At 47.4% G+C, this 16,785-nt stretch overlaps 1 pseudogene, besides 2 other annotated features; it reads left to right on the top strand.

Moving 5' to 3' along the window:
• Positions 3,611-15,104, top strand: LOC642355 (nucleoside diphosphate kinase, mitochondrial-like; annotated as a pseudogene).
• Positions 5,957-6,457: an enhancer, noted in NCBI's record as "H3K4me1 hESC enhancer chr7:140143760-140144260 (GRCh37/hg19 assembly coordinates)". NCBI's record gives its function as "activates a minimal SCP1, AML or CMV promoter by ChIP-STARR-seq in primed H9 embryonic stem cells {active_cell/tissue: H9 hESC(primed)}" and the evidence as "EXISTENCE:reporter gene assay evidence [ECO:0000049][PMID:30033119]".
• Positions 10,971-11,040: an enhancer, noted in NCBI's record as "active region_26781". NCBI's record gives its function as "activates an Ori minimal core promoter by ATAC-STARR-seq in GM12878 lymphoblastoid cells {active_cell/tissue: GM12878}" and the evidence as "EXISTENCE:reporter gene assay evidence [ECO:0000049][PMID:35858748]".

Genomic DNA, 16,785 nt, shown 5'->3' with positions numbered 1-16,785 from the left:
ACACAGTACCTGAGCAAATAAAAGCATTTTTTAGGTTCTAGTGATGAGCTTTTTTTGTGGGATTTTGCTCCAATCACCCCAGCTGGAGTGCAGTGGCGCAGTTTCGACTCACTGCAACCTCTGCTTCCTGGGTTCAAGCGATTCTCCTGCCTTAGCCTCCTAAGTAGCTGGGACTACAAGCGCACGCCACCACGCCTGGCTAATTTTTGTATTTTTAGTAGAGACGGGGTTTCCCCATTTTTTTTTTTTTTTCCTGAGACAGAGTCTTGCTCTGTCACCCAGGCTGGAGTGCCGTGGCACAATCTCGGCTCACTGCAACCTATGCCTCCTGGGTTCAAGCTATTCTGCCTCAGCTTGTCAAGTAGCTCAGATTACAGGCGCCAACCATGACGCCTGGCTAATTTTTGTATTTTTAGAAGAAGCGGGATATCGCCATGTTGGCCAGGCCAGTCTGGAACTCCTGACCTCAGCCTGGAACTCCTGACCTCAGGTGATTTGCCTTCCAAAGTGCTGAGATTACAGGCACCACCACGCTCGGCCTAAAACTGTTAATGGATGACCTTTTTAGTAAAATGAAGGTATCCACATATTTTACAGATATTTGAGTCCTTGTGCATACAGGCACTGTACTAGTGCTAGAGATGCTGTGAGCAGAACACAGTTTGCAGAAGTGCTCATCAAACTAGCCCACTTGGTCCCTTCCACTTCCCAGGCCCTTTGCAGTTTGGTTGGTGCTGCATGGCTAACTCACGTCATGTGCCGTGTGCCCTCCTTGTCATCGTCTCTGTTTCATGGAGGTATTGGAAGCCATGTGTTAAAGTGGCAGAGTCACAAGACAGGAGGGATCCTGGATCTCTGTGTCATGGATAGAGGGAGAGCTCCCACCCCCAAAATCAGATTTTGTATAAACAAGAGATAAATTGAGATTTGGGAGATTTTGTTTTGTTTTGCCAGTAGCCTAATATGAAATATCCTAATAAGGCAGTTGTGGCCCTTCATAAAACTGGTGACTGCTTTCGATAGGGGGCCTGGGCTAGTGTGGCCATGGAAAGGTCATTTGAATTGAGATCTGAATGGCAGAAAAAGTGCCCTGCAGACAAGACATCCTGTGTTAAAGCCTGAGGCAGGCAAAGGCAAGACATCCAACAGCTTTTCCTTGACATCACCATTAAGGACACTCGATGGCCTACAGGACACATTGAATTTCCTGTGTTAGGTATAGCTTTTACTTTCAGAAAAGTATACATGCAAGTCAGTAACATTATAACAATGTCTAACATTTATAGGAATAATGTTGGATTGCCTTAAAATACCAAAAACATTCTTCCTACAATTTAATGCTTTACTAAACTGCAACACACTCACCTGATCATGACCTGCTGCAGTTGGAACCAGTCTCCACAGCAGGGCTTCTCAGCCTTTAACGTGCAAATGAATGAGAGGAGGAGGTTCTTGTTAAAATGCAGATTCTGATTCAGTGGGTCTGGAATAGGCACAAGACACTTATTTGTATTTTTTGAGACTGGGTTACTCTGTCACGGGCTGGAGTGTAGTGGTGCCATTGTGGCTTGCTGTAGCCTTGACCCCCTGGGCTCAGGGGATTCTTCTGCCCCAGCCTCCTGAGTAGCTGGGACCACAGGCACATGCCACCATGCTCAGCTAATTAAATTATTTATTTATTTATTTATTTATTTATTTTGAGACGGAGTCTCACTCTTGTCGCCAGGCTGGAGTATAGTGGCACGATCTTGGCTCACTGCAACCTCCGCTTCCCGGGTTCAAGCGATTCTCCTGTCTCAGCCTCCTAAGTACCCGGGACTACAGGCGTGCATCACCACACCCAACTAATTTTTGTATTTTTATTAGAGACGGGTTTCATCGTGTTGGCCAGGATGGTCTTGATCTCCTGACCTCGTGATCCGCCCGCCTCGGTCTCCAAAGTGTTGGGATTACAGGCATGAGCCACCGCACCCAGCCAATTAAAAAAAAAAATTCAAACTTGGTTCCATAGGCCAAAACCAGTAAGAGCAAATCCTGCAGGCAAATGCATGTAGAGGAATTTTGATTTAAGATTTGAAATAATTTACAACTGTAAACGACCATATGGAAGTGCAGACTGTATTAAGAGGTAAGGAGGTGTAGCAAGGGTACTGGTAAAAGAACTACAGACACCCTTTTATCCTGCTGGCGTTCAGTAACCAGTACAATCTAGCAAGGTAGTGGTCAATAAACCATCATGGATGCGACGTTGAAAGGCCCAGTCCTTTCTTTAGTCTGATTTTTGAAGTATTCTAATAATAACAGCTGTTATTCTATTACTTAAGCCAGTAAGTCTTCAGTAAACATATTTCTGGTGTGATGGGTGGCGTCAGGGAAGTGGTTGAGTTTGAGAGGAAACATGCGATTTCAAAAGCATTGAATGTAGAACTTTTTGCTCCTAATCGCAGCCCCATTATCTTTCACCACTATGCATACTGCTGGGTGCCGCATATGTCCCCCTTCAATCCCTTTGTTCTTCTCCCCATCAAGGCTTGTTGACTGCCTCCTTCCATCACACCCTAGAGACCATCTATGAGCTAAACTTTAGTCTTGATCTATTTCTCATGCCAGCACTTCTCTTTTTTATGGAGATCTAATTTACATACCCTAAAATTCACCCTTTTAGAGGGTACAATTTAGTGGTTTTAAAAATACAATGTTGGCTGGGCGCAGTGGCTCATGCCTGTAATCCCAGCACTTTGGGAGGCCAAGGCAGGCAAATCACCTGAGTTCAAGAGTTTGAGACCAGCCTGGTCAACATGGTGAAATCCCAACTCTACTAAAACTATACAAAAATTAGCCGGGCATGGTGGCACGCACCTATAGTTCCAGCTACTCAGGAGGCTAAGGCAGGATAATTGCTTGAACCCGGTAGGCGGAGGCTGTGGTGAACCGAGATCGCACCACTGCACTCCAGCCTGGATGATAGAGTGAGACTTAGTCTCAAAAAAAAAAACAACAGGCCGGGTGCAGTGGCTCACGCCTGTAATCCCAGTACCTTGGGAGGCTGAGGTGGGTGGATCACCTGAGGTCAGGAGTTCGAGACCAGCCTGACCAACATGGAGAAACCCCATCTCTACTAAAATATACAAAATCAGCTGGGCGTGGTAGCGCATGCCTGTAATCCCAGCTCTTGGGAGGCTGAGGCAGGAGAATCTCTTGAACCCAGGAGGTGGAGGTTGCGGTAAGCCGAGATCGCACCATTGCACTCCAGCCTGGGCAACAAGAGCAAAACTCTGAACTCCGTTTCAAAAACAAAACAAAACAAAAGAAAAAGAGTGTGCAATACTCACCACTAAGTTGAGAACATTTTCATCACCACCCCCCTGAAAACCCCTACACCCATGAGCAGTCAGTCCCTATTTCTCTGTTTCCCTATCCCCTGGCAACCACTAACCCATGCTACTACTCCATAGAGACAGGATTTCTGTCTATGGATCTGCCTGTTCTGGACACTTCATATAAATGGAGCTGTATAATCTGCGGCTTTTTGTGACTGGTTTCTTTGACTTAGCATAATGTTTTTGTTTCATCCATGCTGTAGCATTTATCAGTACTTCATTTCTTTCAATGGATGGACAGTGTTTTATTGCAGGGGTCCTCAACCCTCGGACCGTGTACAAGTACCAGTACGAGTACCAATCCGTGGCCTGTTAGGAACCGGGCCGCACAGTAGTATGTGAGCGGCAAGCAAGCATTACTCCCAGAGCTCCACCTTCAGTCAGACCAGGGTTCCGCCGCTGTTGTGAACTGTGCGTACAAGGGATCTCGGTTGCATGCTGCTTATGAGAATCTCATGCCTAATGATCTGAGATGGTTTCTTCCTGAAACCATCCCTGCCACCCCCTGTCCATGGAAAAAATTGTCTTCCAGGGAACCAGTCCCTGGTGCCAAAAAGTTTGGGGACTGCTGTTTTATTGTATGGATATACCACATTTTGTTTATTGATTCATGACTTGATGGACACTGAAGTCATTTCCACCTTTTGGCTATTATGAATAATGCTGCTATGAACATTTGTGTACAGGTTTTTGTGTAAAGATATGTTTTCAGATTCTTTGGGGTGTATACCTAGGAGTAGAATTGCTGGGTCATATGGTAACTGTTTAACGTTTTGAGGAACTGCCAAACTGTTTTCCAAAGTGGCTGTACCACTTTTCATGCCTGTCAACAATGAGTGAGAGTTCTAATTTCTCCACTTTTTTTTTTTGTTTTTTTTGGAGATAGAATTTCGCTCTTGTTGCCCAGGCTGGAGGGCAGTGGTGCCATCTCAGCTCACTGCAACCTCTGCCTCCCAGGTTCAAGAGATTCTCCTGCCTCAGCCTCCCAAAATGCTGGGATTACAGGCGTGAGCCACAGGGCCCGGTCTTATACCACTGTCTTCAAATGAGAACTTGTGTGATGCTTTATAAACCATTTTCATGGCTGTCTTATTTGATCCTCACATTTCTGTAAAGAAGTTAAGCCCTTATTAGTCTTATTTTGCAAATGAAAAAACTAAGGTTTAGAAGTTAAACAACTAACCCTGTCTAACAGCTAGTGTGTAAGTGCTACAGCTTTGGACTCCAAATCTATGTTTCTTTACATAGATCAGCTACTGTTGGCTGCCTTTGTGGACCTATCTCACGTTTCTGGGTGATGTTAGTAGATTTACATTCTTCCTCGCTGTACTATGCCTGTTATCAATTGTCTATGGCTTATCTGTTTTCTTTTGACCCTGTGGAGTCCTAAACCTCAAGATTTCAGGGGATGGGCAGGCACGGTGACCTGTAATCCCAGCTACATGGGAGGCTGAGGTGGAAGGATCACTTGAGTCCAGGAGTTTGAGGCCCACAGTGTCCTATGATTACGCCTGTGAATAGCCACTACACTTCAGCCTTGGCAACATAGTGAGACCCTGTCTCTTGAAAAATACTGGGGGCGGTGGTGGGGGGCTGCTGATTTGTTCTATTTGGGTTTTTTTTTTGAGATGGAGTCTTGCTCTGTTGCCCAGGCTGGAGTGCAGTGGCACAGTCATAGCTCACTGCAGCTTCAAACACAGTGGTTCAAGTGATCCTCCTGCCCCAGCCTCCCAAGTAGCTAGAACTACAGGCATGTGACATCACACCCAGCTACTTTTTGAATTTTTGAGATGGAGTCTTGCTGTGTTACCCAGGTTGATCTTGAATTCCTGAGCTCAAGTGATTCTCCCACCTTGGTGTCCCAAAGTGTTGGGATTACAGGTACGAACCACTGGCCTGGATATTGATTTTTTTTTTTTTTTTTTTTTTTTTTTGAGACAGAGTTTCGCTCTTGTTCCCCAGGCTGGAGTGCAGTGGCGCAATCTCGGTTCACCGCAACCTCTGCCTCCCGGTTTCAAGCAATTCTCCTTCCTCAGCCTCCCGAGTAGCTGGGTTACAGGCATGCGCCACCATGCCTGGCTAATTTTGTATTTTTAGTAGAGACGGGGTTTCTCCATGTTGGTTAGGCTGGCTTCGAACTCCCGACCTCAGATGATCCGCCCACCTCAGCCTCCCAAAGTGCTGGGATTACAGGCATGAGCCCCCCGCCCAGCCTGGATATTGATATTTGAAAATGAAAAATTGAAGCAGATTCTATTATTATCTTTATCATTATTATTATTATTATTATTATTTTGAGACAGAGTCTTGCTCTGTTGCCCGGGCTGGAGTGCAGTGATGCAATGTGGGCTCACTGCAATCACCACCTCCCGGGTCAAGCGATTCTCCTGCCTCAGCCTCCTGAGTAGTTGGGACTGCAGGCGCCCGCCACCACACCTGACTAATTTTTGTTTTGTTTTGTTTTTGAGATGGAGTCTTGCTCTGTCGCCCAGGCTAGAGTGCAGTGGCGCGATCTTGACCCACTACAACCTCTGCCTCCCGGGTCCAAGCGATTCTCCTGCCTCAGCCTCCCGAGTAGCTGGGATTACAGGCGCTGGCCACCGCGCCTGGCTAAGTTTTGTATTTTTAGTAGAGAGGGGGTTTCACCATCTTGGCCAGGCTGGTCTCGAATTCCTGACCTCGTGATCCGCCCGCCTCGGCCTCCCAGAGTGCTGGGATTACAGGTGTGAGCCACGGAGCCCAGCCAAACCAATTCTATTATTGCCTTTGACGATAATGAATCCTCAGAAACTCGTCTCAATGACCCGGAGTTTTGCTAACCACCTGCAGGGGGCGCTGATCTGTGCTTGCCTTGCTGCATCCTTCCCCACCTCTCGTTCCCTTCCAGTGTCTATTCCAACCCCTGGACTCGGATGATAGGGTGGAGCTCAACCTGATTTGCCCTGGCTCACCCAAATAACCTTGCACTGAGTGAACTGGAGTTTCCTCATGATCTAAGAGAAAGTGTACACAGGCCGGGCCTAGCACATTTCAAGCACAGCTTCCCCCTGATTTTCCTGCAGTTAGATGGGTTTGGGCTACTCCACCCAGCCATCTAGCCCTTCTCCACCCCACCTCCTCCTCCCTATTTAGCTTCTTTTACAGACAGCTGCACAATTTTACTTTGGAAGACACTGAAATACATGTATGAGAGGTATATCTTGGAATGGATACATTTCTCTCTCTGTCGTGTGTGTGTGTGTGTGTGTGTGTGTGTGTGTGTGTGTGTGTGTGTGTTGAGAATGATGAGGGGTTAATATGATGGAGCCCAAATCTGGTGCTGGCCATTATCTGAGAGGGAGTTTAGCATAATTGTTTTTGTTTCTTTATTTGCTTGTTTTGTTTTGAGACAGAGTCTGGCTTTTTCACCCAGGCTGGAGTGCAGTAGTGCGATCTCGGCTCACTGCAACCTCCGCCTCCTGGATTCAAGTGATTCTCCTGCCTCAGCCTACCCAGCAGCTGAAGTTGCAGGCAGGCACCACCATGCCTGGCTAATTTTTGTATTTTTAGTAGAGGCGGGGTTTCACCACGTTGGCCAGGCTAGTTTCAAACTCCTGTCCTCAAGTGATCTTCTCGTCTTAGCCTCCCAAAGTGCTGGGATTACAGGTGTGAGCCACCACCTCCAGTCTAGCATAATTGTTAAAAGTGGACTCTGGAATCAGATTGGTGGGGTTTGAGTCCTGGCTGTGCCATTCACTAGCTGTGTGACCTTAATGTCTCTGTGTCTCATAGCTTCATTTTAAAAAATAGGAATGATAAACAGTACACACTCCAAAATATAGTTGATAAATTAAGTATTTGCTACAGTGCTGGGACATAGTAACTGCTATATGTGTTTGTCACTATTATTACTATTGTACTAATATTACTATTAATACTAATAGATTTTTTTTTTTTGAGATGGAGTTTTGCTCTTGTGGTCCATGCTGGAGTGCAATGGCGAGATCTCAGTTCATCGAAACCTCCGCCTCCCGAGTTCAAGTGATTCTCTTGCCTCAGCCTCTCAAGTAGCTGTGATTACAGGCGCCCACCACCACGCCCAGCTAATTTTTTTGTATTTTTAGTAGAGACGGGGTTTCATCATGTTGGCCAGGCTGGTCTTGAACTCCTGACCTCAGGTGATCCGCTTGCCTTGGCCTACCAGAATGCTGGGATTACAGGCGTGAGCCACCTCCCCAGCCAATAGGTCTTAAAAGTAAGAAAGTGGGGGAGATTCAGAAAAAATTTATGAACATAGGTATATTAACTGAAAGATTCCCTCACATGTGAAAGTGCATTTGACACCAGCAGACAAGATAAAATATTAAGACGTTTTATAATGTAATTTTTGTATTCTTCCAAAATGTACATTTTGTTCAGAAATATTTATGTTGGGTTAAAAAGTAAAAAACAAGCGGCCAGGCATGGTGGCTCACGCCTGTAATCCTAGCACTTTGGGAGGCTGAGGTGGGCAGATCACGAGGTCAGGAGTTAGAGACCAGCCTGGCCAATATGGTGAAACCCCATCTCTACTAACAATACAAAAATTAGCTGGGCGTGGTGGCAGGCACTTGCAGTCCCAGCTACTCGGGAGGCTGAGGCAGGAGAATCGCTTGAACGCAGGAGGCGGAGGTTGCAGTGAGCTGAGATCGAGCCACTGCATTCCAGCCTGGTGACAAAGCAAGACTCCATCTCAAAAAAAAAAAAAAAAAAAGTAAAAAACAAAGCACACAAACATGCACACACCAAAAAACCCAAATTTCCTCTTGGAACTTTTGTTTATTCTTTCTTTTTTTTGAGACAGGGTCTTGCTCTGTTGCTCAAGCTGGAGTTCAGTGCCTCGATCATGGCTCACTGCAGCTTCGATCTCCTGGGCATACTCTTGCCTTAGGCTTCCCCCCCACCCCAAGTAGCTGGGACTACAGGTTCATGCCATCATGCCCGGCTAATTTTTTATTTTTAAATTTTTTATAGAGATGGGGTCTCACCATGTTGCCCAGGCTGGTCTCAAAAACCTGGGCTCAAGCAATACTCCCACCTCAGCCTCCTAAAATGTTGTGATTACAGGCGTGAGCCACCATGCTTGGCCCTCACTTAATTTCATATCATTTACTTGTTACCAATTATACAATTTTGAGGATGTGAAAAAAATGCTAGAATTAATTAACACACAGTACCATATCTATAAAGCAAAGCCTGCCTGAGGCAGTTTCACAGTGCCAGTTATGGGACTGTGGTAAACTTCAGAGAAGTTGTCCCTGTTTTTACAGCAGACAAGACCCTGTGGCCTCTAATTCAGGGAAATTGGTAGATTTTATGGGTCCCTTTCAAGTGCACACTATAATTTCAACAGAAGCAAAGGCTGGTTAATTACAGGTCGATGGTTTTCAGGTGACCATGTTCTCCTGTTGTGTAACTTGTTGGTAGGACAATTTCAGTGGTAAATAATCCCATAAAGTACACGATCCCAGAAATTGATGAGATTTTCAAAATATTTATTGGGATTCATGTGCAGATAAATGCAGGTGGATTGATGTGTGCCATTAGGGTTGTATTTGTTCCTCAAGTTTTGTGTTCCTTCTTTTGTGTAATTTTTTTTTTTTTTTTTTTTGAGACAGAGTCTCACTCTGTTGCCCAGGCTGGAGTGCAATGGTGTGATCTCGGCTCACTGCAACCTCTGCCTCCCAGGTTCAAGCGATTCTCCTGCCTCAGCTTCTCGAGTAGCTGGGATTTCAGGCACCCACCACCACGCCCGGCTAATTTTTGTAGTTTTAGTAGAGACGGGGTTTCACCATGATGGCCAGGCTGGTCTTGAACTCCTGACCTCAGGTGATCTGCCCGCCTTGGTCTCCCAAAGTGCTGATTATAGGCGTGAGCCACTGCGTCCCGCCTTGTGTGTGTAATTGAAACATACATTTTTGTCTGGGCATGGTGGCCAAATCCCAGCACCTTGGGAGGCCAAGGCAGGCGGATCACTTGAGGTCAGGAGTTCGATACCAACCTTGCCAACATGGTGAAACCCTGTCTCTACAAAAAATACAAACTTTAGCCAGGCATATTGGCACGCACCTGGAATCCCAGCTACTCGGGAGGCTGAGGCAGAAGAATCGCTTGAACCTGGGAGGCAGAGGTTCCAGTGAGCCAAGATCATGCCATTTGCACTCCAGCCTGGGTGACAGAGCAAGACTGTGTCTCAAAAAAATAAACATTTTAGTGTCTCAGATTGTTGAGTCATCTGAAGTTCATTGTTAAGAGAGGGAGCTCAGTTTCAGCTGCCTCCTCATAGAAGCTGAAGACCTCTTTTGTCTCCAGGTGGGCCATATAGTTCAAAGCCTTACTTTTCCTCCAGGAGCAAATCATCCAGCCCCTGACAAGGCAGTGCATAAAGAGCTTTGCTTTTTTTTTTTTTTTTTTTTTTTTTTTGAGAGAAGGTCTCACTCTGTTGCCCAGGCTGGAGTGCAGTAGCATGATCTTGGCTCACTGCAGCCTTGACCTCCCAGACTCAAGTGATCCTCCTGCCTCAGCCTCCCGAGTAGCTCAGACTACAGGCATGCACCATCACACCCAGCTAATTTGTATTTTGGTAGAGACAGGATTTTGCCATGTTGCCCAGGCTGGTCTCAAACTCCTTGGCTCAAGCCATCCTCCCACCTCACCCTCCCAAAATGCTGGGACTACAGATGTGGGCCACCATGCTGGGCCTTACCAATTCATTCTCAGCTCCTCGGGATTGCCTTAATTATTTTGTGAGTTTGACTATGAATTTACAACCATTTATAAATTTTTTTTTCTTTTTTGAGATGAAGTCTTGCTCTGTTGCCCAGGCTGGAGTGCAGTGGCGTGATCTTGGCTCACTGTAACCTCCGCCTCCTGGGTTCAAGAGATTCTCCTACCTCAGCCTCCCGAGTAGCTGGGATTACAGACGTGTGCCACCATGCCCAGCTACTTTTTGTATTTTTAGTATAGATGGGGCTTCACCATGTTGGCCAGGCTGGTCTTGAACTCCTGACCTTGTGATCCGCCCGCCTCAGCCTCCCAAAGTGCTGGCATTACAGGCGTGAGCCACCGCGCCTGGCCCATTTATAAATATTTTATCCAGTGTTTTCAGGTATATATAGTAAGAAGATTTCAGGTTACCTAATCAGCAAAATCCTGGAGCCAAGTGTCTCCTGTCACTTATTGGAATGTTACCTTGGGCAAGTTATTTAACCTTAATCTCTTTGTAAAATGTGAATAGTAGCTATCTCAAGTGACAGTTTTGAAAATGAAAAAGAGCTTTACCTCTACTAGGCACGCAAATATGACATGTTACTGCCTCTGTGGTTCATTCCCAGTTGATGAGGGAAAGCTCTTTTTTACCAAGAGTGACAGTTAACAAATGTAGCAGAAACGATAGAATTTGAAAAGCACCATTTTATAACCCTTGATGAAACTGATTCAGACAGGTATCATCAGTGGGTGGTGAAACCAGTTAGTGAAATGTCAGTATTTGCATAGTCCAAAGTATCAGCTCAATAAGGACATCTTACTGCAAAGGAGGAAATGTGCTTTTTCACAGAGAGATCTTCAGTCTCCACTTCCAACAAGTGAGTGAACCCAGTATTTGCAAGAAGAGATGACCTTCAGGCCTGATACAGCAGCAAGCGTGGAGCATCACCCCAGGTCATGGTCTTGCCCAAAATGTTTAGCCCTAATAACAAGCCTCTAGACCTGACTTCCAGCAGATGGAGAAAATAGTGGGTATAAGAAATTAACCTTGGCCGGCCCAGTGGCTCACGCCTGTAATCCCAGCACTTTGGGAGGCTGAGGCAGAAGGATCCCTTGAGCTCAGGAGTTCCAGAGCAGCCCGTGGTCCGAGCTACTTGGGAGGCTGAAGTGGGAGGATCACTTGAGCCCAGGAAATTGAGGCCATAATGAGCTGTGATCGTGCCACTGCACTCCAGCCTGGGCAACAGAGTGAGATCCTGTCTCAAAAAAAAAAAAAAAAAGAAAGAAAAAAAAAGAAATTAACCTTGAAGAAACAAATTCAGAATTCTAAAAGACAATTCCTTTATCTTCAAACAGCCAGCGTTATGGGAAAAAGTGAGGAGTCTGGAGAAAGACGACAACTAAATGTAAGATGAAAACACGTGACTGGATCCTGGTTATTTTTATTAATATTATTTTTAATTGAAAAATCATAATTATATACATTTATAGGATACAATGTATTGTATATACCATGGAATGATTAAATCAAGTTAATTAACAACCATCTCCCTTTCTTTACTGGTGAGTCATTTGAAATTTACTCTTAGCTATTTTGAAATATATATTATTTTACTTTCCTTTTTTTTATTTTTTTGAGACGGAGTCTTGCACAGTCACCCAGGCTGGAGTGCAGTGGCGCGATCTCGGCTCACTGCAAGCTCCGCCTCCTGGGTTCACGCCATTCTCCTGCCTCAGCCTCCCAAGTAGCTGGGACTACAGGCGCCCGCCACCACGCCCGGCTATTTTTTTTTTTTCGTATTTTTAGTAGAGACGGGGTTTCACCGTGTTAGCCAGGATGGTCTCGCTCTCCTGACCTCGTGATCCACCCGCCTCGGCCTCCCAAAATGCTGGGATTACAGGCGTGAGCCACCGCGCCCGGCCTCCTTTTTTTTTTTTTTTTTGCGACAGAGTTTTGCTCTCTTGCCCAGGCTGGAGTGCAGTGGCGTGATCTTGGGTCACTGCAACCTCTGCCTCCTTGGGTTCAAGCGATTCTCCTTGCTCAGCCTCCTGAGTAGCTGGGATTACAGGCGTGTGCCACCACATCCGGCTAATTTTTTGTATTTTCAGTAGAGACGGGGTTTCACCGTGTTAGCCAGGATGGTCTCGATTTCCTGACCTCATGATCCGCCCACCTCAGCCTCCCAAAGTGCTGGGATTACAGGTGTGAGCCACTGTGCCCGGCCTTTTTTCCCTTTTTTGAGACAGAGTCTTGCTCCAGCACCCAGGCTGGAGTGCAGTGGCATGATCTTGGCTCACTGCAACCTCTGCCTCCTGGGTTCAAGCAATTCTTGTGCCTCAGCCTCCTGAGTAGCTGGAATTACAGGTGCTGGAATTCTGTTGTTTTTTTTTTGTTTTTGTTTTTGTTTTAATACAAAAATGTAAGCCGGACACAGTGGCTCACTCCTATAATCCCAGCACTTTGGGAGGCCAAGGTGGGTGGATCACAAGGTCAGGAGTTCGAGACCAGCCTGACCAACATAGAGAAAACCCATCCCTACTAAAAATACAAAATTAGCCGGGCGTGTTGGTGCATGCCTGTAATCCCAGCTACTCGGGAGGCTGAGGCAGGAAAATTGCTTGAACCTGGGAGGCGAAGGTTGCAGTGAGCTGAGATCGTATCATTGCACTCAAGCCTGGGTAACAAGGGCAAAACCACCTCAAAAAAGAAAAAAAAAGTAAAATTACCAAAGACATTTTGGACTGAATATTAGATGGTATTAGTGAATCACTGTAAATTTCCTTGGATGTGATCATTGTATTTAGGAGAATATTCTTTTTTAAAAAAAATTGTTTTTTTTGAGACAGGGTCTCAGTCTGTTGCCCAGGCTGGAGTGCAGTGGCACCATCTTGGCTCACCGCAACCTCCACCTCCTGGGTTCAAGCGATCCTCCTGCCTCTGCCTCCCAAGTAGATGGGATTGCAAGCGTGGGCCATCATGCCCAGCTAGTAGGAGAATGTTCTTATTTGTAGGAAATGCATGTTAAAATTTGGGGGGCTGAAGTGTGATATCTACTATATATCAAATATGGGAAAATTATAACAAAATTCAAATCTAGGTATGTGGGTGATGGGTAGACATTCATTGTTCTATTATTTCAACTTCTTTCTGTGTTTGAAGTTTTTCATAATAAAAAGTTAGGAGACGTCGGGTGTGGTGGCTCATGCCTATAATCCCAGCACTTTGGGAGGCTAAGGTGAGTGGATCACTTGAGGTCAGGAGTTCAAGACCCCGTCTGGTGAACTCCCGACAGAGCTCAGGTGAAACCCCGTCTCTAGTAAAAATACAAAAATTAGCCAGGAATGGTGGTGGGCACCTGTAATCCCAGCTACTCAGAAGGCTGTGGCAGGAGAATTGCTTGAACCCAGGAGGCGGAGGCTGCAGTGAGCTGAGATCGCACCACTGCATTCCAGCCTGGGCAACAAAGCAAGACTCTGTCTCAAAAATTAAAAAAAAAAAAAGAAGAGAAATGTTATTTTTTCACATCTCACTAGGTATCTAGAATACAGTCAGGAAGGGAAAAAGCTTGGAAACTCTGCAGTCCATGGCAGCAGAAGGCACTGAGGGGCTGGGGAACTAGAAGGATGTTTGCGTGCATGGGTGGGGGTCGGGGAGTTGCTGCATAAAAGCCAGGGAAATGAAGAAATCCAAAGATGAAGTGCTGGCTAATATAAGCCAAGTTGGCATTATATTATAAATAGTGATCAAAGAGAATTAATGATGGCCACCCAGGTTCCCAGCTCTTTCATCACAAGTTTCTTGTGTGACTACATAAAGAACCTCATCCTGCTGAAGAAGAACCTCGTCTTAAACCACCTCATTCCAACAGCCTGAGAAGCATAGGAGTACATTGTGGTGCTAAAGCCGGGTGCCCTGGTGCCACCTGCGATCCCAGCTACTGCTACTCGTGAGGCTGAGGCTGGAGGATTGATTGAGCCCAGGAGTTTGAGCAACCTAGTTGAGCCTGGGCAACCTAGCAAGATCCTGTTATTTATTTTTATTTATTTATTTATTTATTTAAGACAGGGTCTGGCTCAGTCACCCAGGCTGGAGTGCAGTTGCAGATCTGGGCTCACTGCAACCTTCGCCTCCCAGGCTAAAGCGATCCTCCCACCTCAGCCTTCCAATTAGCTAGGACCACAGACTCCCACAACCAGGCCTGACTAATTAAAAAAACTTTTCTGTAGAGATGGGGGTTTTCTCTCTATATTGCCCAGGCTGATGAGCTCAAGCGATCCTCCCGCCTCGGCCTCCCAAAGTGGGATTACTGGCATGAGCCATCGCGCCTGGCCTGAGGCACTGTTAACACACACACACGCACACACACATAGACCCCAAAGAGAAGAATGCCAATGACACGCTGCTGCACGAGCCTGCGAGAAATGGGACTACAGGGTGGCTGGCTGCTCCAAGCTGCATGTTGTGATGTTGTAGAATTAACTGATAATAGCGCTCAGCCGGCGGCCCGCGGACCGGGCGTCACAGGCGGCTCCTCCGGGCGCGTTGCGCTGCGGGTTTCGCTGCGGCCTGTGGGCCCCAGGCCAAGCCTTCGTGCGCCCTAGCTCAGGAGGGCCCTCCTGGACCCTGGAGCGGACCCTCATCGTGGTGAAGCCAGATGGGGCACAGCGGCGGCTCGTGGGGGACGGGATCCAGCGCTTTGAGAGGTGGCTTCACGCTGGTGGGGAAGGACGCAGGCGCACAGCGCGTCCTTGCCGGGCACCGCGAGGGCCCGCGAGGGCCCGCGGGGGAAGCCCTGCTACCCAAGGCCTGCGAAGGGTCCAGTGTGGTCCCGCGCCCCGGGACCATACAGGGAGATTTCAGCGCCCACATCAGCAGGAACTTCTTCCAGGCAAGCAACTCCGTGGAAGGGGCTCGGAGATGGATCCCGCTGTGGCTCCCGAGCAGGGACCTGGTGAGCTGGGCACGGCGCCAGCACAGCCGCAGCCACCCAGCCTGAGGCCCAGGCCGCCCTCCCAACTCCCTCGGTCAGCAAGAACCCAGGCCCACACCCATATCTGCCTCTCCCAAACCGCTTTCCTGTTCACCTCTGCCCACCCCCAGCCCAGAGGAGTTTGAGCCACCAACTTTAGTACCTGTAATCTCAGCTACGCAGGAGGCTGAGGCAGGAGGATCCCTTGAGTCCAGGAGTTCAAGACTAGCCTGGGCAATGCACCACCACGCCTGGGTAATTTTTGTATTTTTAGTAGAGATGGGGTTTCACCATGTTGGCCAGGCTGGTCTTGAACTCCTCAAGTGATCCGTCTGCCTTGGCCTCCCAAAGTGCCAGGATTACAGACATGAGCCACTGCACCTGGCCCCTAGAATTTTTATTTTTATTTATTTTTTTATTTTTTTTGAGACGGAGTCTCCCTGTCGCCCAGGCTGGAGTGCAGTGGCGCGATCTCGGCTCACTGCAGGCTCCGCCCCCCGGGGTTCACGCCATTCTCCTGCCTCAGCCTCCCGAGTAGCTGGGACTACAGGCGCCCGCTACCTCGCCCAGCTAATTTTTTGTATTTTTAGTAGAGACGGGGTTTCACTGTGTTAGCCAGGATGGTCTCGATCTCCTGACCTCATGATCCACCCGCCTCGGCCTCCCAAAGTGCTGGGATTACAGGCGTGAGCCACCGCGCCCGGCCTAGAATTTTTAAATGGAATAAGGTAGGAGTCTCTCCAAAGAGGGAGTTTTCTTTGAAGATTACATCTTGGTCAGTGGATTCATCAAGAAATGTAGGAGGGTTTTCTGTACTGAAGTTGTTTGAACCCTGCTCTTCACCCCAACCCTTCTGCAGGTTTTAGTAGGTCTGAGCTGGGCGGGCAAATGTCATCTTACTCTTCTCACTTTCCTGGGGTTCATAATGGAGACCACTTTCCCCAGAGGCTTCACCCATGACCAAGTGAGAAGATAGTCCAGGGGCCCAGTGTGGTGGCTCACACCTGTAATCCCAGAACTTTGGAAGGCTGAGGCGGGAGAATTGCTTGAGCCTAGAAGTTTGAGACCAGCCTGGGCAACATAGCAAGACTCCATCTTTTTTTTTTTTTTTTTTTGAGATGGAATCTCACTCAGTTGCCCAGGCTGGAGTGCAGTGGCTCAATCTCAGCTCACCACAACCTCCTCCTCCCAGGTTCAAGCAATTCTCCTGCCTCAGCCTCCTGAGTAGCTGTAGGTGTGCACCACCATGCCCGGCTAATTTTTGTATTTTTAATAGAGACAGGGTTTCCCTATGTTGGCCAGGCTGGTCTCTAACTCCTGACCTCGTGATCTGCCCACCTCGGCCTCCCAAAGTGCTGGGATTATGGGCGTGAGCCACCACGCCCAGCCACAAGACCCCATCTTTACAAACAATACAAAAATGAGCCGGGTATGGTAGTGCAAGCCTGTAGTCTCAGCTAGCTATTCAGGGGGCTGAGGTGGGAGGATCACTTGAGCCTGGGAGGTCAAGGCTACAGGGAGCTGTGATTGTGTCACTGCACTCCAGATTGGGTGGCAGAGTGAGACCATATCTCTAAAAAAAGAAAGAAAGAAAGGAAGGAAGAAAAAAGATAGTCCAGAGAACCTAAGGAGCACTACCTTGGCCTCTGCTGTGGGCCAGGCAACCCGAGGCCTCTCCAGGATTCCTCATCATGAGTGACACACAGCCT

Source organism: Homo sapiens, chromosome 7 (assembly GCF_000001405.40).
Source record: "Homo sapiens chromosome 7, GRCh38.p14 Primary Assembly".
NCBI lineage: Eukaryota > Metazoa > Chordata > Mammalia > Primates > Hominidae > Homo > Homo sapiens.
The sequence above is the reverse complement of the archived record's forward strand: the minus strand, read 5'-3'. Positions and strand labels throughout refer to the sequence as shown.